Source organism: Homo sapiens, chromosome 6 (genome assembly GCF_000001405.40).
Source record: "Homo sapiens chromosome 6, GRCh38.p14 Primary Assembly".
Classification (NCBI taxonomy): Eukaryota; Metazoa; Chordata; class Mammalia; order Primates; family Hominidae; genus Homo; species Homo sapiens.
The window spans coordinates 95,972,088-95,994,530 of NC_000006.12; the positions used below are offsets into that span (position 1 = coordinate 95,972,088).

Sequence of the window (22,443 nt, forward strand, 5' to 3'; positions counted from 1 at the left end):
TCATTGTAGATTCTGGATATTAGCCCTTTGTCAGATGAGTAGATTGCAAAAATTTTCTCCCATTCTGTAGGTTGCCTGTTCACTCTGATGGTGGTTTCTTCTGCTGTGCAGAAGCTCTTTAGTTTAATTAGATCCCATTTGTCAATTTTGGCTTTTGTTGCCATTGCTTTTGGTGTTTTAGACATGAAGTCCTTGCCCATGCCCATGTCCTGAATGGTATTGCCTAGGTTTTCTTCTAGAGTTTTTATGGTTTTAGGTCTAACATGTAAGTCTTTGGAAAAATTTCTTGACATTAGTTTGGGCAATGATTTTTTGGATATTGTCTCAAAAGCACAGACAACAAGAGTAAAAATAAACATATGGGATTGCATCAAACTAAAAAGCTTGTACACAGCCAAAGAAACAATTTACAAAGTCAACAGACAATCTAAGGAATGGGAGAAAATATTTGCTATCCATATGTCCTATAAGGGGTTGATACCCAAAATATCTATGGAACATATACAACTCAATAGCAAGGAAACAAATTATCCAATTTAAAATGGACAAAGGACCTGAATAGACATTTCTCCGAGGAAGACATACAAATGGCCACAGGAACATGAAAGAAAAATGCTCCACATCACTAACTTTCAAGGAAATGCAAGTTAAAAATCATATGAGGGATAATCTCACACTTATTAGAATATCTATTATTAATAACTAGAAAATATAAGTGTTGGTAAGAATGTGGGGAAAATGGACAGTTGTGTGCCAACTTGTACACTGTTTCTGGGGATGTAAATTAGGACAGCTATTATGGAAAACAATATGGAGGTTCCTCAAAATATTAAAAATAGAAGTATTATATGATTCAGCAATCCCACATCTGGGTATATAATCCAAAGAAAATAAGGTCAGTAAATTGAAGAGATATCTGCACTCTTATATTAATTGCAGCATTATTCAGAATAGTCAAGATATGAAATCAACCTAATCATTCAACAGAGATAAACAGATAAAGAAAATTATACATAAATGTATATATATAACATAGAACCACAAAATATCCCAAATACCAAAACACTTATAAGCAAAAAGACACACACATATGCATACACACACACACACACACACACAATGGAATATTATTTAGCCATTAAAAAAGAAGACAGTGCTGTCATTTGTGATGAGATAAATAGACCTGGAGGATGTTAATCTATGTAAAATAAGTCATGCATGAAAAGACAAATACTGCATGGTCTCACTCCTATGACAAATATAAAAAAAGCAAACTCATTGAAACAGAGGACAAGAATGATGAGTTGCCAGAGGGAAGAAGGTGGGGAGAATGAGAACATGTTGGATAAATGGTACAAATTTTTGGTTACGCAGGATGAATAGGTTGTAAAGATCTCATGTAGAGGACAGTGGCCTTAGTTAATAATACTGTATTTTATACTCAAAATTTGCTGAGTCTAGATCTTAAGTTTTCTCACTGGGAAAAAAACTAGGTGAGGTGATGGATTTGTTCATTACCTTGATTACAGAAATCATTTCACAATGTGTACATGTTTCAAAACGTCATGTTGTACACTGTAACTATATACAATTTCATTCTTATTTGTTCTTTAATAAGGTTGGAAAAAAATAAAAAGAGTTAATAGTGAAAAAAGCACACTTCATGCACAAATTTTAAGAAGTTTTGTTATAAGGAAGAGTCAACAAATGGGAATGTAAATTGGAAATGGATAAATACACAAATTGAGTTTAAAACAAAAGACAAGAAGTGTTGAGTATATTTGTGTTGTTGAGATTCATCTTCTGAAGAAGGGCATTAATGATTAAGGAAAAATAAAATGAAATTGCAAAGGATGTCCCTGTCCAACTGAGAATAACAGGGAACAAAAGACAAAAGTAATTGTAGACCATTAGAAAGTTGTCTTTCTAACGACAGAACACTGCTTCATTTTCTTACAAGTAATTTCCTGAGAGTGAGGAGGAATTGATGGTGGGGGCGGGGTGGCTTTCAGAAATAATAAGAGGTTATGAAATTTTTGTCTCAGGAAACACTTATTGATGGGACTGCTCAACAGTATTCACTGGCAAATGAAAAACCAGTTATACTGGTTCTGTAATTTGCCAATGATCCTCCAGGACATCAACACTTAAACTAACAGTATTTAAAATCTTGCCAAGACTGAGTATTATTAATACTTGTTATCTATGCCAATGTGATACGTGAATTTTTAAACTTCTTTATATTCTATGTTTATTTTATTATTAGGTAAAGTGAGAATGTTCTATTGTGTTTGTTTATTGTTATTTTGATTGGAAAAGAGTAAGGCTAGAAGAAAGGACACTTAGAAGATTGTTGGCATAGCGCAGGTTGAGCATCCCTAATCTGAAAATCTGAAATCCAAAATGACCTAAAATCTGAAACTTTTTGAGTGTAGACATGACATTCAAACCTCATGCTGAAAATAAATGCTCTTTGGACCATACTTGATTTCAGATTTTCGGATTAGGGATGCTCAACCTGTATAAATGAATATAATGGTGGCCTGAATACACTAAATATTAGTATGTTTGTGTATATATAGATACACACACACACACACACACATACACACACAGACTAATATATATTATGTAACATTAGACTCAAAATAAAGCACAATGAGTCTAGAAGAAAACCAGCTGCCTGTCCTCCAGGAAGCTTAAAGGGTGACATTATTTTGATGAATTTAACCACACTTTTCTCAGTCTGGATCCCAAGCTTATGGGTTTCCTAAAACCAAGTTTTATCAGCAATTGAGAAAGAATATATTTCCCAGTGGGGAGCCTCATGTGAACAAAGCCAATAAAATTAAATTTATGTATATTTTTCATCTTCAAAATAGAATAAAATGAGTTATATTTACCAACATATCTGGAACTAGATGACAAATACATGATAGCTTATTGTTATATATAAAATCAAAATGTTAATAGATTAATTACCACTGAGAAATAGAACTATCAGTCCGAGTGTTATTTTTGCATAATCAGGGCAAATTACACTTACACACAAGGAAAAACAATTTTCGTTATAAGCTTGATTAAAAAAATGGATTGGAGAGGAAATAAAGGCAAAAATTTTTTACAAAACTTTTGAAAGTGTGATTGTAAAGGAAAGAAAAGATTAAAATGGTGGCTGAAACAGAAAGTCTGGTTAAAGAATGTTGAAAGTTTAGTATTTTGCTTTATTAAGATAGTGTTATGGGATGAATTGTGTCCCCAACCAAAAGTATATATATATATTTTGAAGTCCTAACCCCCACTACTTTGCAATGTGACTTTTTATTTAGAAATAGGGTTATTGCAGATGTTACTAGTTAAGATGAGGTCATACTGGAGTAGGGCTGGCCTCTCATCCAATATGACTGTATCTTCATAAGCACATGGCCATGTGAAAACAGAGACACAGGGAACACCACAGGAGATCAAAAGCAGAGAAGTGAATTAAGTGTCTGCAAGCCAGGGAACACCAAAGATTACCAGGAAACCACCAGAAGCTACAAAGAGGTAGCCCAGAATTGTGAGACCATAAATTTCTGCCTTTGTGATACTTTGTTACAGCAGTCCTAGAAAACTAACATTGATAAGGAGATTCAAGAAGCTTTAAATGTTGTTGAGAAACAGTTACCAGGAAGGGAGACAATGAATATAGAGAAAGAGGGACTATTGATGGAGTATGTTCCTGGAAGAGAAGACAGGAAATACTACCTCAGAGAATGGCCCTGGGAGGAAAGACACTTCTTGAATTTTATTGAGAGGAAAAAAGGAAGGTGAGGTAATTCCTACCTATGATTCCCATTTTCTCTAAAATTTATGAGGTAAAATCATCATCTGATGATGAACAAATACCTGGTTTCATAGAAGATCTGGGAGAAGAGAAAAGATTGAAATAACTTCTGTAGAGAATAAGAGAGAAAACTGAGGACCTACAAGATTGGCAGTCTCAAGTAGAACATTAATAAATGAATGCATTTGCAGTTCTGTTTGATATGTAGAAAATTAAACTTATATTTTTATTTTCTTTATCTGTCCTACTTTGAAAGACTAATTTAATAATAAATATTATAAATATTATAATTTGAAACCAATAATAGTTATTTATACGTTTTGTTGCCCCCTCACATCATCTGAGAAAATCATTCATTCATTTCATGGCCTGTATTCATGCTGTTGGTATCCCAGATTTGCTTACCTAATAAGAAATGTGTAATCACTGAATTAAAGCTTGTGGAAGCTACATAACCAGAAAAAGTGGAATTCCCATTAGATCTATAAATTTACCTAGCCCTTGAGTTTATTTCAATATATGCAGTCATTTATTAAGTAAAATGACATCCTAACATTTTACAGTTTGAAATGTGTAATCAATGGGACCTATGATGGTATCAGTCAAATAATATAGAGACAGAATTGTTCATTAGCATATTTAAGAGTTTATTACTATAGATAAAACTCATCTAATTAACACAAATATGTAGTAATAAGCCAGTATGGAGTTTGAGAAGATGCTTATGATTTCTTGAGACATAGGTGTAAGATGTGTAAAATAATATTTAGTTTCCATCCCCTATCCACACAAGTAAATAAATATCTAATTAGCTATAGGTCTGCGAAATCGTAATAGAATCTCTATTCATGAGGAGATAAAGAAAAACTTAACATAATAGTATAAACATTTAAAAATAAAATGTTTAAGCACTAAAAACAATCATATATTTATGAAGGATAAGTCATTCTAAACTAAGCCCACATTATTTTGATGTGGTAACTAGTCCATTGTTTAGAAGCGTTATATTTTTATATATATGTATATATGTGCGTATGTACATACATAAACTTATGTATATGTATTTGATTTATATTTACCTATGTTTACAAAATGAAGACACAGTCAAGCTGATTAGTTATTAAAATAATGAACTAATATAGCACTGTGTTGATACTAATTGTATAGAATGTTTTTCAAAAGAGAACCAAAATCTTTACGTTAAGACTTGTCTATCTTCGTAGAGGCCAACTCCTCCTTCAAATTTTCCTCTTCTCAGTAGCAGAGCTGTGTGGCATGGAGCTCAAAAGCATAAGTTCTGCAACTATTCAACCACATTAGCAATTCCACTCTCCTGGTCACTAGCTATGTGACCTTGGAAAATTATTTATTTCTTATGTCCTACAATTTTCTTATCTGTAAAATGGAAAAATATTATTTTGTAGCATTGTTGTGAGAATTAAATGAGTTATTGCATTAAGAATATTTGGAATCTCAGCACGTTAAGAGGCCAAGGTGCAAAGATTGTTTGAGGCCAAGAATTCAAGACCAGCCGGGGCAACATAGTGAGACCCTGTTTCTACAAAAAAGTTAAAAAATTAGTTGTACATGATGGTGGACACGATAGCTACTCTGACATGGGAGGATCACTTGAGCCCACGAGTTCCAGTTTACAGCAAGCTATGATAGCACCACTGCACTCCAGCATGGGCAATAGAGTGAGACTGTCTTAAAGAAAAAAAAGGTATTTGGAGGCAGGGCGTGGTGGCTCACGCCTGTAATCCCAGCACTTTGGGAGGCCAAGGCAGGCGGATCATGAGGACAAGAGATCGAGACCATCCTGACTGACATGGTGAAACCCCATATCTACTAAAAATACAAAAATTATCTGGGCATAGTGGTGTTTGCCCGTTGTCCTGGCTACTCGGGAGGCTGAGGCAGGAGAATCGCTTGAACCTGGAGGCGGAGGTTGCAGTGAGCGAGATCACACCACTGCATGCCAGCCTGGTGATAGAGCAAGAGTCCATCTCAAAAAAAAAAAAAAGTATTTGGAGCAGAACTTGAGCCTGACACAAATTAAGAACTAAATAATATTAAATATTATAATAAGCATTTATTATATTCTCTATCTTGGCTAATAGCATTGTCATCAATTTGCACAAGCTGGAAATCTGGGCATGAGCTTTAAATCCCACCTTTTCATCACATATGTGTCATACATAATTTGTAGACCATATGCCTGGTTTAATCTTTAATATTTAAGCTTTAATTTATGTCTTCAGTTTCTCACTTGGACAATTAGGTCTGTCTCATAAGTCTCTCTAATCTCATCTGCTCACACTCAGATTTGTTTTCCACATCATTTACTATACCATGTTTCTGATATCCAAATCTAATCATGCTATTTCTTTTCTTGTAAGGTTTAAAAGTTTTCAGGATAAAGTTCAAATGACTCACCATTACACATCGAGTTGATTATAAGAGGTCACTGTTCTCTGAACCTGTTCTGCATCTCTACACCTTACTGCTCTGCACTATTTTCTCTCCATCTCCCACTTGGAGTGCCTTTCCCTCCCTTCTCTGCTTAGTCATGATGCCCTTTTCTTCTCATCTTGCATTAGTCATCCTCTCTCTTTCACCTTTTAGCACAATTATTCCTTCATAACAAGAGCACGAATAACAATAGTTAACATTAACATACAATTATGTGTCACACACTATTATAGAGACAGATAATACCTCATTTATGCCTCAAAACAATTCAATAATATGGGTAATGTTATAATCCTTATTTAACAGATGAGAAAACTGGAACCAAAGAATTAAACACTTGTCCAAGACCACCTGGCTGATGAGATATGGAGCAGATTTTGAATCCATACATTATTATTTGAGAGCTAAAGTTCTGAAATACTAAATAATACTGCCACCCCAAATACAGAACCTGTATGTTACTGCATATCATACTATCATAAAAATCAACCTCTCTATCTCTTCCAAAGTACATTGTTTTCTTCATATAGGAATCTCCAGTGCTTAATTCAGTAGTGGGAATACAGAATCCATAATCATTGATAAAAGAACAAATAAATAAATGGATAAATGAGCAAGCGCAAATAAAATAAATAGCCAGTTTCTAGAGGATTACCTTTCCCACCCTGTGGAAATCATGTTTATTCATTTGCATGATTCCCACTTCTTTATGTTTTTCTTTCAACCTCGTTATGGGAGGAACATAGGATAATTAAATTTAAAAGTTACGCTACAGCTAAATTAATGTTTGTCCATATCTATACAACCGCAAAGAAATCAGGCCATAAGAGAACTGTTTGCCATTGTAAATAATGCTACAGTGAATGTGGGAGTACAGATATATCTTGGCATACTGATTTCAATTTCTTTGGACATATATCCAGAAGTGGAATTTTACAATTATTATTTGTCAATTAAAAATACAATTAAGTCTTTAAAAAAGAACTGTGCTTGACTTGATTTGTCAGTTTTTCAAGTCCTGAAAGTGCTAGCATTAGTGCTTATGGAAACTGTTACGATAGATTTTCATCAAATTGAGCCATTTGAATTCTGAAAGTCTGATCTCTTTTTCCAGGGTTGTTAGATATAGCCACTGTAATAAAAAATCGTATAAGTGGAATTGTTTTAATATTCCAAAGTCAAGACTAAAAAGTGCATATATTTAGTCAGTAGAGTGTAGCCTCAGTACAATTTTAAAAGCTTCTGATGGATATGCGAAAGAACAATCCCATTCAGCTGAAATACATGATTTGATTCCTGTCTAGATTTCTGAAAATATTCCTCCTGGGCCAGTGAGAGTAGCCACATTAGAGGTTTTCCAAAAAGTTAGATTTAGTGTTGCAATATACATCTTTCTTCATTTAGCCTCTGACTATTTAGAGGCTTTCAACCTCATTTCTTAAATGTCATCACTTTTTTTTTTTTTTTTTAGCTTTCAGCAACTTAATTTTTTTTTTTTTTTTTTAGCTGGAATAATGTTTTTTTTTTATTATACTTTAAGTTTTAGGGTACATGTGCACATTGTGCAGGTTAGTTACATATGTATACATGTGCCATGCTGGTGCGCTGCACCCACTAACGTGTCATCTAGCATTAGGTATATTTCCCAATGCTATCCCTCCCCCCTCCGCCGACCCCACCACAGTCCCCAGAGTGTGATATTCCCCTTCCTGTGTCCATGTGATCTCATTGTTCAATTCCCACCTATGAGTGAGAATATGCGGTGTTTGGTTTTTTGTTCTTGCGATAGTTTACTGAGAATGATGGTTTCCAATTTCATCCATGTCCCTACAAAGGACATGAACTCATCCTTTTTTATGGCTGCATAGTATTCCATGGTGTATATGTGCCACATTTTCTTAATCCAGTCTATCATTGTTGGACATTTGGGTTGGTTCCAAGTCTTTGCTATTGTGAATAGTGCCGCAATAAACATACGTGTGCATGTGTCTTTATAGCAGCATGATTTATAGTCATTTGGGTATATACCCAGTAATGGGATGGCTGGGTCAAATGGTATTTCTAGTTCTAGATCCCTGAGGAATCACCACACTGACTTCCACAATGGTTGAACTAGTTTACAGTCCCACCAACAGTGTCAAAGTGTTCCTATTTCTCCACATCCTCTCCAGCACCTGTTGTTTCCTGACTTTTTAATGATTGCCATTCTAACTGGTGTGAGATGATATCTCATAGTGGTTTTGATTTGCATTTCTCTGATGGCCAGTGATGATGAGCATTTTTTCATGTGTCTTTTGGCTGCATAAATGTCTTCTTTTGAGAAGTGTCTGTTCATGTCCTTCGCCCACTTTTTGATGGGGTTGTTTGTTTTTTTCTTGTAAATTTGTTTGAGTTCATTGTAGATTCTGGATATTAGCCCTTTGTCAGATGAGTAGGTTGCAAAAATTTTCTCCCATGTTGTAGGTTGCCTGTTCACTCTGATGGTAGTTTCTTTTGCTGTGCAGAAGCTCTTTAGTTTAAATAGATCTCATTTGTCAATGTTGGCTTTTGTTGCCATTGCTTTTGGTGTTTTGGACATGAAGTCCTTGCCCACGCCTATGTCCTGAATGGTAATGCCTAGGTTTTCTTCTAGGGTTTTTATGGTTTTAGGTCTAACGTTTAAATCTTTAACCCATCTTGAATTGATTTTTGTATAAGGTGTAAGGAAGGGATCCAGTTTCAGCTTTCTACATATGGCTAGCCAGTTTTCCCAGCACCATTTATTAAATAGGGAATCCTTTCCCCATTGCTTGTTTTTGTCAGGTTTGTCAAAGATCAGATAGTTGTAGATATGCGGCATTATTTCTGAGGGCTCTGTTCTGTTCCATTGATCTATATCTCTGTTTTGGTACCAGTACCATGCTGTTTTGGTTACTGTAGCCTTGTAGTATAGTTTGAAGTCAGGTAGTGTGATGCCTCCAGCTTTGTTCTTTTGGCTTAGGATTGACTTGGCGATGTGGGCTCTTTTTTGGTTCCATATGAACTTTAAAGTAGTTTTTTCCAATTCTGTGAAGAAAGTCATTGGTAGCTTGATGGGGATGGCATTGAATCTGTAAATTACCTTGGGCAGTATGGCCATTTTCACGATATTGATTCTTCCTACCCATGAGCATGGAATGTTCTTCCATTTGTTTGTGTCCTCTTTTATTTCCTTGAGCAGTGGTTTGTAGTTCTCCTTGAAGAGGTCCTTCACATCCCTTCTAAGTTGGATTCCTGGGTATTTTATTCTCTTTGAAGCAATTGTGAATGGGAGTTCACTCATGATTTGGCTCTCTGTTTGTCTGTTGTTGGTGTATAAGAATGCTTGTGATTTTTGTACATTGATTTTGTATCTTGAGACTTTGCTGAAGTTGCTTATCAGCTTAAGGAGATTTTGGGCTGAGACGATGGGGTTTTCTAGATAAACAATCATGTCGTCTGCAAACAGGGACAATTTGACTTCCTCTTTTCCTAATTGAATACCCTTTATTTCCTTCTCCTGCCTGATTGCCCTGGCCAGAACTTCCAACACTATGTTGAATAGGAGCGGTGAGAGAGGGCATCCCTGTCTTGTGCCAGTTTTCAAAGGGAATGCTTCCAGTTTTTGCCCATTCAGTATGATATTGGCTGTGGGTTTGTCATAGATAGCTCTTATTATTTTGAAATACGTCCCATCAATACCTAATTTATTGAGAGTTTTTAGCATGAAGGGTTGTTGAATTTTGTCAAAGGCTTTTTCTGCATCTATTGAGATAATCATGTGGTTTTTGTCTTTGGCTCTGTTTATATGCTGGATTACATTTATTGATTTGCATATATTGAACCAGCCTTGCATCCCAGGGATGAAGCCCACTTGATCATGGTGGATAAGCTTTTTGATGTGCTGCTGGATTTGGTTTGCCAGTATTTTATTGAGGATTTTTGCATCAATGTTCATCAAGGATATTGGTCTAAAATTCTCTTTTTTGGTTGTGTCTCTGCCCGGCTTTGGTTTAAATATAAATGGACTAAATTCTGCAATTAAAAGACACAGACTGGCAAGTTGGATAAAGAGTCAAGACCCATCAGTGTGCTGTATTCAGGAAACCCATCTCACGTGCAGAGACACACATAGGCTCAAAATAAAAGGATGGAGGAAGATCTACCAAGCCAATGGAAAGCAAAAAAAGGCAGGGGTTGCAATCCTAGTCTCTGATAAAACAGACTTTAAACCAACAAAGATCAAAAGAGACAAAGAAGGCCATTACATAATGGTAAAGGGATCAATTCAACAAGAAGAGCTAACTATCCTAAATATTTATGCACCCAATACAGGAGCACCCAGATTCATAAAGCAAGTCCTGAGTGACCTACAAAGAGACTTAGACTCCCACACATTAATAATGGGAGACTTTAACACCCCACTGTCAACATTAGACAGATCAACGAGACAGAAAGTCAACAAGGATACCCAGGAATTGAACTCAGCTCTGCACCAAGCGGACCTAATAGACGTCTACAGAACTCTCCACCCCAAATCAACAGAATATACATTTTTTTCAGCACCACACCACACCTATTCCAAAATTGACCACATAGTTGGAAGTAAAGCTCTCCTCAGCAAATGTAAAAGAACAGAAATTATAACAAACTATCTCTCAGACCACAGTGCAATCAAACTAGAACTCAGGATTAAGAATCTCACTCAAAGCCGCTCAACTACATGGAAACTGAACAACCTGCTCCTGAATGACTACTGGGTACATAACGAAATGAAGGCAGAAATAAAGATGTTCTTTAAAACCAACAAGAACAAAGACACCACATACCAGAATCTCTGGGACGCATTCAAAGCAGTGTGTAGAGGGAAATTTATAGCACTAAATGCCTACAAGAGAAAGCAGGAAAGATCCAAAATTGACACCCTAACATCACAATTAAAAGAACTAGAAAAGCAAGAGCAAACACATTCAAAAGCTAGCAGAAGGCAAGAAATAACTAAAATCAGAGCAGAACTGAAGGAAATAGAGACACAAAAAACCCTTCAAAAAATCAATGAATCCAAGAGCTGGTTTTTTGAAAGGATCAACAAAATTGATAGACTGCTAGCAAGACTAATAAAGAAAAAAAGAGAGAAGAATCAAATAGACACAATAAAAAATGATAAAGGGGATATCACCACCGATCCCACAGAAATACAAACTACCATCAGAGAATACTACAAACACCTCTACGCAAATAAACTAGAAAATCTAGAAGAAATGGATACATTCCTCGACACATACACTCTCCCAAGACTAAACCAGGAAGAAGTTGAATCTCTGAATAGACCAATAACAGGCTCTGAAATTGTGGCAATAATCAATAGTTTACCAACTAAAAAGAGTCCAGGACCAGATGGATTCACAGCCGAATTCTACCAGAGGTACAAGGAGGAACTGGTACCATTCCTTCTGAAACTATTCCAATCAATAGAAAAAGAGGGAATCCTCCCTAACTCATTTTATGAGGCCAGCATCATTCTGATACCAATGTCATCACTTTTTAAAAAAGAGTACCTGAAATGGAAGTCATACTATGAGGTTTTAGTTTCTATTTATTTATCTATTTAACTTCCAACATTTTTCCTAGAAAGGAAAGATATAAAATATTGTATAGGCTTTCTATTTTAGCTTAAATTCAAGTACTTTGATGGTTTTATTTTTAATTTTCAAACATAAGGGGATTTTTGTCTTATTAACTTGTAATTGCATTGTATCAAAAATATATTTTAATATAATTTTTGAATAAAATTTTGATATGGAAAATTTTGTTAGGTCATTTTGGATAAAAGTCAAATTCTAGGAATCTATTGTAAGAAAACAACTGAGAACATATACAAAGATATAGTCACAAGGACTTTCTATACATTTTCTTTATAAACACAACAATTTTGAGAAAAATATGATCATATGAGTTATTCAAATGTGCAAAATAAATCACTGTAATTAAAAATTGTGATTCAAAGAAATTTAATAACATGGAAAGACATTTAAAAATTATATGAAAAGAAAATACTAAAATGAAATATATTTAGTATGTTTTCATTCTGAGTGTATATGAAAGACAATACTCTGAAATGCTACTATTATTGTATAATAAGTCTGAGGATGATTTGCATTTATTTTACTTTTCCATATTTTTGAAGTTTTTAATATTATTACTTTCATTTTTTAAAACCCTGTATTAATGTAAACTATACACAGAACTAAAATTTTAAAGTTCTATTCGATTTGATTTACTCTGAGTGTTAAGACAAAATTAATGCAAACAGAAAGTTTAATGGGCCTTGAGGAGGGACAGTTAAAAATTCTCTTCAAAATACAACAACAATTGCTGATATATTTCACATACATACACATAAAATTTCTACTACTGCTGCTGAAATTTCTTTAGACTGGCTGCCTATACCCAGCCTCATTTACTCAGACTCAGGACTTTCTTCTACGCATCTAGAATTGCTTCAGGATTATCTAAAATCTTTAAAACAAAAATGGACTTCTATTATTAATTCATATTCTCAAGGGATCATTTACTGATGTTATATCATACAAATTTAACATAATATTGGAAAATTTTCACAAAGTTCTGTAAAAGTTGTATGCTGTGGGAAGCTAATAAATTTTTTTTGCATCTGTTCTTATTTTGATTAATCTTTCCTTTGCACATCATTACTTTTCCACAGACTGAATGAATTTGGAATTTATTTAGTTTAGCCATTTTACTTTTAAGTCAGAAAAATTAAAATAAAGATAAGAAATTATTCTTACTGGCTAATCAGTCTACATGATAAAATATAGACACATGTTGATTTATAAAACACTATCTGATCCATAATAAAATACTTAGAATACTCTAAATAAAACAAAAATTCAGCCTTTAAAGGGCTTCAAAACTGAAGACTAGTAAATTTTAAAATCTCAGTGAAGAGTTTTTAAAATGCAGAATAGGATGAAGAGGTAGATTAGATCTGGGGGAAATCAGGTATCCCATAACACATGTTTGGAGTTAAAACTTTCCTGGATTAAATAAATAAATTATATCAAATTTTGCAATAAAATGACAATGATTGACACAATAATATACTTTTAATTTATAATTAAATAGTATATTCAAATGATCATATGATTCAGTTTTTTTAAATGTGTGTGTGTGTGTCGGCAGGGGCTTTGGGAAGGGTGTGCAGAGATGCATATATAGTTATCAGGTCGTCTTGAGCAATGAAATTATTGGTGATTTTATTTTCTTCTCTATATTAATCTACTTTTAAACTAGTTTTATTATAATTAAAGTTGTTTTTTATTTAAGTTAGTCTAATTGCTAGTTTTATACTGGAATCTTAGAACCACTAGTTCTCTCTTTTACAAACTGTAAAGATAATTCCTTAAGCAAACAGGGTCAGCAAAGCATTTAGAGTCAATAATATTTTCCTATTATTAAATATCTACTTAAAAGAAGCATTAGCCAGGTGCGGTGGCTCACGCCTGTAATCCCAGCACTTTGGGAGGCCGAGGTGGGTGGATCACGAGGTCAGGAGATCGAGACCATCCTGGCTAACACGGTGAAACCCCGTCTCTACTGAAAATACAAAAAAATTAGCCGGGCGTGGTGGCAGGCACCTGTAGTACCAGCTACTCGGGAGGCTGAGGCAGGAGAATGGCATGAACCCGGGAGGCGGAGCTTGCAGTGAGCTGAGATCACGCCACTGTGCTCCAGCCTGGGCAACACAGCGAGACTCCGTCTCAAAAAAAAAAAAAAAAAAAAAAAGAAGCATTATGCCTACAAGTATCATCAAGTATTTATCTCTTTTATGTAGAGAGAATTTGAAAGAACACGTATTATTTAGGATAACTTTGCTAAAATAGTTAATGCCATAGACAAAGAAATGAAAAAGTATAAATATTAGAAATGAAAAGATAAATACCATTATTGCAAATATAATTCTCTATCTAAAAAGCATACAGAAAATAAACTGAAAAACTCTTGAAACTAGAATACAGTTCAGTAGCTGGCTAGTTAAAAATATAACAATAATAGCTTTTAAAATAACCATTAAGAAACAAATACTTGAGACAAATCTCATTGGAAAATATTTTATTTTATTCTATTTTTTTGAGACAGGGTCTCATTCTGTCACCCAGGCTGGAGTCCAGTGGCATGATCACTGCTCACTGTAGCCTCAACCTCCCAAGTCTCAACGGATCCTGCTGCCTCAGCCTCCCATATAGCAGGCACTACAAGTGCGTGCCACGATGCCCGGATAATTTTTGTATTCTTCTTAGAGACGGAGTTTTGCCATGTTGCCCAGGCTGGTCTTGAACTCCTGAGTTCACGGGAGCCACCCTCCTCAGCCTTCCAAAGTGCTGGGATTACAGGTGAGAGCCACCACTCCCAGCAGGCAAATATTTTAAATAGGTTCACTCAATTCTTATTTCAACAACTCATAATTTGCCTTCCTATGTGTTACAAAGGCTTAAAATCTAATGCAAAATCTTATCCTCCTTGTTACAGGATATCAGTGATATAAGTATTTGATTTGGTTTCTAAAAATCATATGCACATATTCAAGATTTAGATGCAAAATGAATGCTGTGAGATGCTCTCTATGTGAGGGGAGTTCACGTGTTCTGTAAAGCATGGAAATAGAGGCATTTGGTTCTTCTGGAGCAACTATGCTAACAATATGGTATCCAGTTCCCCCACTATCATTGGTGTGGAGCAAAAGTTTCTGATGACAGAAATATTTCTATCATGTGATTGGGCAGTTTTACTGGCTGCATTGTTCCTGTTGGGGTAACAGCAGAACATGGTATTCTAGAATCTCTCACTGAGTGTGTGAGCTATCTGATGTCTTAAAATAAATTTATTTTCACTTACAATAACAAGATCTGACTTTATTCTTGACAACCAAAATATCTGACAAATTCAATGGAGCATTATTAGATAAACAGATAGATGATAGGTAAATAGATTATCTAAAAGGACATATATATATGCATAAATATTAACATTGGGTGTATTCTAGATCATAATATTTGGAGTAATATTAACCTTGCTTATTTAAAAAAAGCTTTTCATTATTCTAATAATGCATACTAATATATATTTGCTACTAATATGTATATGTATATACTAATATGTATTTGCTGAAAAGAAGCTATGCAATATAAAGTGGACATAAGAAGTCCACCCAGAGATTTTCTTCAGTATGCCATGATTAAATAGAAAATACCACCTAAAGTAGAATCATCTCTGTGGTTGAGACAGCCAGCTGTCCACCAAACAGATAACACACAAGCAAATAAACAGATATTGGTTGCCTCTTCTTGAGAACACAGCTAGACTAGAGTTAGCCTCCCTTGCAATTGAGTGTAGACACACGGTTGTTTTAATGAAGGTACTGTAAAGAGAAGTCATGTGTACAACTTCCAAAAGTGGCTCAAATAAACCTCCCATGAGCAACCTCTATGCTGTCCATTCTCCATTTCTGGCTGATGGTTATGCCCCTGGTGACCTTGGAATCCACATATTGAAGATGGCAAAGTAGCCATCAGTCTGCCTTGGATGTCTGCAAAACGAAAATGCAGCTATCAACCCAAATAACAGCCAGGAGAATTAGCTGAGAAAGAAATAGGCTGGGCATGGTGGCTCACTCCTGTAATCTCAGAATTCGCGAAGGCCAAGGCAGGAGAATCAATTGAGTTCAGGAGTTTGAGACCAGCCTGGGCAACATGGCAAAACCCTGTCTCTACCAAAAATACAAAAAATTAGCCATGCATGAGGGCAGGCACCTGTGGTCCCAGCTACTAGGGAGGCTGAGGTAGGAGGATCTCTTGAGCCTGGGAGGCAGAGGTCAGAGTGAGCCAAGATTGTGCCACTGCACTCCAGCCTGGGCAACAGAGTTAGACCCTATGCCAAAAGAAAAGAAAAGAAAAGAAAAGAAATAAACCAGGCTTTTTTTTTTTTTTTTTTTTTTTTTTTTGGCGCTGGAAGTTTGGGGTCTGTTCTGTCAGCATACTCAACATTAATACAGTCTCCATCTTTCATTATCTACCTTCTCCTCTGGCCTTCATCCCTTCAAATTAAGACTTCTGTGGTGTTATTCTGTGCTTTTTATTTGCTTTCCCCAAAAGCTGCCTGCTTTTAGTAGCTGGAGACTACTTCTTAAAAGAAGTCTCATCTGTAATAACACAGAAATTGTTCAAAATTTATAATGTTGTCCCTTTCCCAAAGATTCAATGTTGATAAATTGCTTTTTATTTTCTTATTTTTATGTGGACATTCCTATCATGTAATAAAAAAAATGAGGGCCTGTTCTTACATTGACATATGTTACTAACATTTTGATTTGGAATGATTTATTACTTTATTTTATTAGCATTCTTTAATTTTTCTGTAACAAACAGAAATTACTTATGCAATGTTTAATAAGAAAATTCTACAAAGTTTATTAAAGATATTAAAGTTAAAATAGATATTTAGCTTAGTGTTCATTTAAAACTTTGAATTCAATTAAATTCAAGTTCAGGTATTGACGAAAAAAAAGTTTGTTATTCCCAAACTGGCTTTCATTTCTCAATAAAATTGTGTGTACAGGCCTGTCATATTCACAAATATAGGCAAGATAGGCAAGAGAGTATGCATTCAGAGGATGTTCTCCCTCTTTAGTTTTCTTTTTTTTTCCTTCTTTTTTTTTTTTGAAACAGAACCTTGCTCTGTCACCCAGGCTGGAGTATAGTGGCGTGATTATAGCTCACTATAACCTTGAACTCCTGGTCTGAAGTAATCCTGTCACCTCAGCCCCCTGAGTAGCTGAGACATGTACCACCAAGCCAGGCTATTTTTATTTTAAGAAATAGGGTCTTATTATGTTGCCCAGGTGTGTCTTAAACTCCTGGCCTCAAGCAATCCTCCTCCCTCAGCCTCCCAAAGTGTTGGGATTACAAGCATGAGCCACCATGTCCTGCTCCTTTATAATTTTTACCTTTAATTTTCTAATATCTTCCAGAATCAGGAATTAAAAAGCTGCATCTTGTTGTGGGAAGTCAGGGACCCTGAATGGAGGGACCAGCTAGGGCCACAGCAGAGGAAATATAAATTGTGAAGATTTCATGGACATTTATCACTTCCCTAATAATACTCTTATAATTTCTTATGCCTGTCTTACTTTAATCTCTTAATCCTGTTATCTTCATAAGCTAAGGATGTAAATCACCTCAGGTCCAATGGGATGATTGCGTTAACTGTATGAATTGATTGTAAAACGTGTGTTTGAAAAATATGAAATCAGTGTCCCTTGAAAAAGAACAGAATAACAGCGATTTTCAGGGAAAAAGGGAAGACAACCATAAGGTCTGACTGCCTGCGGGGTCAGGCAGAATAAAGCCATATTTTTCTTCGTTCAGAGAGCCTATAAATGGATGTGCAAGTAGGAGAGATATCGCTAAATTCTTTTCCTAGCAAGGAATATAATATTAAGACCCTAGGAAAAGAATTGCATTCCTGGGGAAGGTCTATAAATGGCCGCTCTGGGAGTGTCTGTCCTATGCAGTTGAGATAAGGACTGAGATACACCCTGGTCTCCTGCAGTACCCTCAGGCTTACTAAGATTGGGAAACCCCAGCTATGGTAAATTTGAGGTCAGACAAGTTCTCTGCTCTCGAACCCTGTTTTCTGTTAAGATGTTTATCAAGACAGTAAGTGCACCACTGAACATAGACCCTTATCAGGAGTTCTGATTTTGTCCTTGCCCTGTTTCCTCAGAAGCATGTGATCTTTGCTCTGCTTTTTGCCCTTTAAAGCATGTGACCTACTCCCTGTTTGTACACCCCCTCCCGGTTTGAAACCCTTAATAAAAATTTGCTGGTTTTGTGGCTCAGGTGGGCATCACGGACCTACTGATACGTGATGTCACCCCTGGTGGCCCAGCTGTAAAATTCCTCTTTTTGTACTGTTTCTCTTTATTTCTCAGACCGGCTGACAATTAGGGAAAATAGAAAGAACCTACATTGAAATACTGGGGGCAGTTTCCTCCAATAGCATCTTACTTCAAAACCTCCTATACATGACTACTAAGCATTCCTGCCCATAAGGGCCACAATCTCAACTCTGATTTTCAGAAGTCCCTAGATCATTCAAGATCCATTTCTACTGTTGCCCACTCTGTGAACCCTCCAGGATTCCTCAAACAGATGTACTCATGTCTCCATTTATATATCTTCATTTGACATTTGTATATGATACTTTCCAGACCAAGTCTTTTATCCAAGAGATCTTAATATCTTCTGTGCCTCTCTATAAACTGCAAGCTTCTTGAGGTCCAGAACTGTGTCTCATTTGTCTTTAAATTCTCTCTGTATCTTAGCATTGCAGAATACAGATAAATGATGTTTACCATATTTTGTTGAATTAAATTAAGCAAATATCTAAGTTTAGTCAGTATTTCTGCTTCTAATCTGTCACTAAATCCCTGTTTCCACAACAATCCTAGGTGATAGGAGCTCTGCCTTCCAAGAATAATGTGTGGACGCTGGTGGCAAGATATACTGGAGTGCCAGATGGAATAAATAGGAAGAAAGTTGTTTCTGAAATCACCAATGAGAATATCCTTAGGAAAAAAAAATTGAACAGCAGCTCAGCAGAACCTGAATCCTGTCCTCTTGCTTTCCTCCCCCGAGACATGAGATTCATCACCCACTCCACCACCTTCTCCACTAACTGCCTGCCCATGGGGTCCATCCAGTTGCTTGCCAGCAGTCTGTCTATCCTTTATGCAAATGCCATGGGCTCTAGCTCCTGGATCTTTTCTTTCAGCTCCACCAGCTTCTGGGTAGACTGGGGGACTGGGGATCTGGTAGAAATAGTGGGGCATACAAAGTAAGAATGAGGCCATGACAGGCCTGAATAACTGCCTAGCCTCCTACCTGGACAGAGTGGGTGGCCTGGAGACTGAGAATCGGAGGCTAGAAATCAAAATCTGGGAACATCTGGAGAAGAAGGGGCCCCAGGTCAGAGACTGGGGACATTATGTTAAGACCACAGAGGACTTCAGGGCTCAGACTTTTGCAAATTCTGTGGACAATGCCTGCATTGTTCTGCAGATTGGCAAGGCCTATCTTGCTGCTGATGATTTTAGAGTCAAGTAGGAGACAGAGCTGGCCATATGCCCATCTGTGGAGAGCCACATTCATGGGCTCAGGAAGGTCACTGATGACACCAATGTCAGTCATCTGCAGCTGAAGACAGATCTCGGCTCTCAAAGAGGAGCTGCTCTTCATGAAGAAGAACCATAAAGAGGAAAAAACAAAAAGACTTAAAAGCCCAGTTTGCCAGGTCTGGTTTGACCATAGAGGTAGATGTCCCTAAATCTCAGGACCCCAGCAAGATCCTGGCAGATCAGTGTGACGAGCTGGCTCAGAAGAACCTAGAGGAACTGGAAAATACTGGTCCCAGCAGATTGAGGACAGCACCACAGTCATCACCATGCAGTTGCCAAAATCAGAAATGCAAGGTGATGCTCACGGAGCTGAGAGGTAGAGTTCAGTCCTTGGAGATCAACCTGGACTCCATGAGAAATCTTAAGGCCAGCTTGGAGAACAGCCCAAGGGAGGTGGAGGCCCACAATGCCATGCAGATGGAGAAGCTCAATGGGGTTCTGCTGCACCTGGAGTCAGAGCTGGCACAGACTCTGGCAGAGGGGTGGCGCCAGGCCTAGGTATATGAGGAGGGCCTGCTGAACATCAAGGTCAAAGTGTCGGCTAAGCTGGCCACCTTACTGCTGCCTGCTGGAAGATGGGAGGGACTTCAATCCCGGTGATGCCCTGGATAGCAGCAATCCCATGCAAGCCATCTGAAAGACCACCACTTGCAGGATAGTGGACGGCAAAGTAGCATCTCCCACCAATGACACTAAAGTTCTGAGGTTTTGAGGCAGCAGAAGCAAGGTGTCCTTTGGATAACCCAATAAAAAGTTCAGAGGTCCAAACAAAAATCGAACAGCAGTTTTGGTCACCCAATGTCAGTAGTTTTTAGATTTAGCTCTATATCAACTAACAGGATTGATAGAGAACCGAACTAATTTTTCAAACGTTCTATCATTGGGAAATGTATTCCATGCTTTAAACACCTCACCAAAACTGTCTTCGGGATAAAATATATTCTTTGTTTTTAAACTTATTATAGTAAAAACAACTGGCAACTTCACAGAGTCCACTATCAATCCTAGAAGTGCATTCTCTGTGCAGAAGTTATCTCAGTTTAGTTGCTACACTGAACTATACAGAATGATAGATCTTTTTGTAATTTTATGATCTATCTTGAGTAGAAAATTTTGTAGTCTTGTCAGGTATAAGAGTTATGATATGCCACAAATATTTGTCTTATCACAGAAAGCTTAAACTTAGGGAGGAGTTATATAACTTTTCTGGTCCTATTTAATCTCACTGAGTTAGCATGTTTTATGTTTCAATAGCAAATGTATACTGAAAAGGCAGAGAAACATTAAAATGAAAGGGAAAATACAGAAATAATATTTCATTATCTGGATGTCGTTAGTTTATAATTTTCTCCATAGATTTTAAAAAGTGGAGAAAACTGATTACAATAAAAATATATGCTTTTATTATTTATCACTAACTTTTACTCCAACAGAAGTAATTTTTGCATTGAACAAATCTAGGATTTTTTTCAAAAATTTCAATTAAATATCATATATTTATTTTTGTATATATAATAATATTCTATACATATAAATATATGTATGTTTGTATATATAATTGTATAAATAATATTCATAACAACATGAACATATTGAAATATTATTCATCCATAAAAAAGAATGAGGTTCTGATACATGCTAAAACATGGAAGAAACATGAAATCATTGTGTTAGATTAAATAACCAGACACCAAAAAACACATATTTTGTAATTCCACTCACGTGAAATATCTAGAATACGCAACTTCAGAGAAACAAAAAGTAGATTAGAGATTACCAGGGCCTGAGAGAGGAGCGAAGAGGGTATTACTGCCTACGGGTCGCAGAGTTTCTGTTTGAGTTGATGAAAACATTTTGAAAATAGCGATTATGGTTGTACAACGTTGTGAATGTGATTAATACCTCTGAATTGAACACTTATGAAATGGCTAAAATAACAAATATTATGTTACATATTTTGCCATGATTAAAAATAATGAAAAATTAAAATTAGTAAGCAGTGATATAGCAAAAAAAGCATAACATTGTGTTTTATGTCTGTTGCTACTCTGACCTGTTTAACTTAGATTAAAATTTTTATTTCTGTTTATGAATATAATCAAGAAATGAGAATAAATCAAGTAGCCTTACACCTGACATTGACTAGTTATTATGAAAGAAACCTAGACTTTTGGAAAATAAATAACTATGGAATCTATAACATAGTTTTAAGAGTTCTTCCCCAAACATCATGGTCAGATTTTTAAAACTAGTAGAATAATCACTGATTGAAGAAATGAAAGATCTGTTTTGGGGCGGCTAAAATATGAGCTCAAGAGTTTCGAATTCATGAATGATCTTATTAAACTGTTAAAATATATTTATATAAAAATAATACACAACACTAATATAAAACACAATAAATATAAAAATAAAGATAGTACCAAACACAAAAGCAATTAGTGATATTTTATTTTTGTTAAATTAGTTTTAATGATTATTGTTTAATACATTTGTATTGATACTTGATTTTAAGATAATTCTTTGAAATGATGTGATACATTTTTTATGACCCAAAAGTAATGAAGGTAGCCAAGCAGAAATAAGGAGAAGAGTCGTTGAAAAAAATGAAGTCCGCTGGTCACTCTTTCTCTGGCAAATAATGGAGACATTCAAGGTTGTTAAAATTTAACTGTGAAAGTTTAATTATTCAGTTGTCTGCTTGAAGCTTCAGCAGGTTCGCAGCACTGGATCAAGCAGGGGTTTTTTTTTTGGTATGTGGAATGGGCATTATATGCATAGCATTTTATAAACTTTTGAAGAATATGTGATACTCATTAACAGAGGTCATTCTTTTCCTCTTTTGCAGGACACTTTGCAGCTGCTTATATATGTGTCCGTTGAAAATATGTTA

At 35.8% G+C, this 22,443-nt stretch overlaps 1 long non-coding RNA gene and 1 pseudogene across 2 annotated transcripts in view, besides 1 other annotated feature; one reads left to right on the forward strand and one right to left on the reverse strand.

Annotated features, from left to right (window-relative positions):
• Window positions 1-22,443, reverse strand: part of LOC107986626 (uncharacterized) — a 97,612-nt gene that overhangs the window by 54,266 nt on the left and 20,903 nt on the right. The window lies entirely within an intron of this gene.
• Window positions 5,507-6,706: an enhancer, noted in NCBI's record as "P300/CBP strongly-dependent group 1 enhancer chr6:96425470-96426669 (GRCh37/hg19 assembly coordinates)". NCBI's record gives its function as "activates an origin of replication core promoter dependent on BRD2, BRD4, P300/CBP, MED14 and CDK7 cofactors, with strong dependence on P300/CBP, by STARR-seq in HCT116 cells {active_cell/tissue: HCT116}" and the evidence as "EXISTENCE:reporter gene assay evidence [ECO:0000049][PMID:35650434]".
• On the forward strand, window positions 18,969-20,314 carry KRT18P50 (keratin 18 pseudogene 50; annotated as a pseudogene).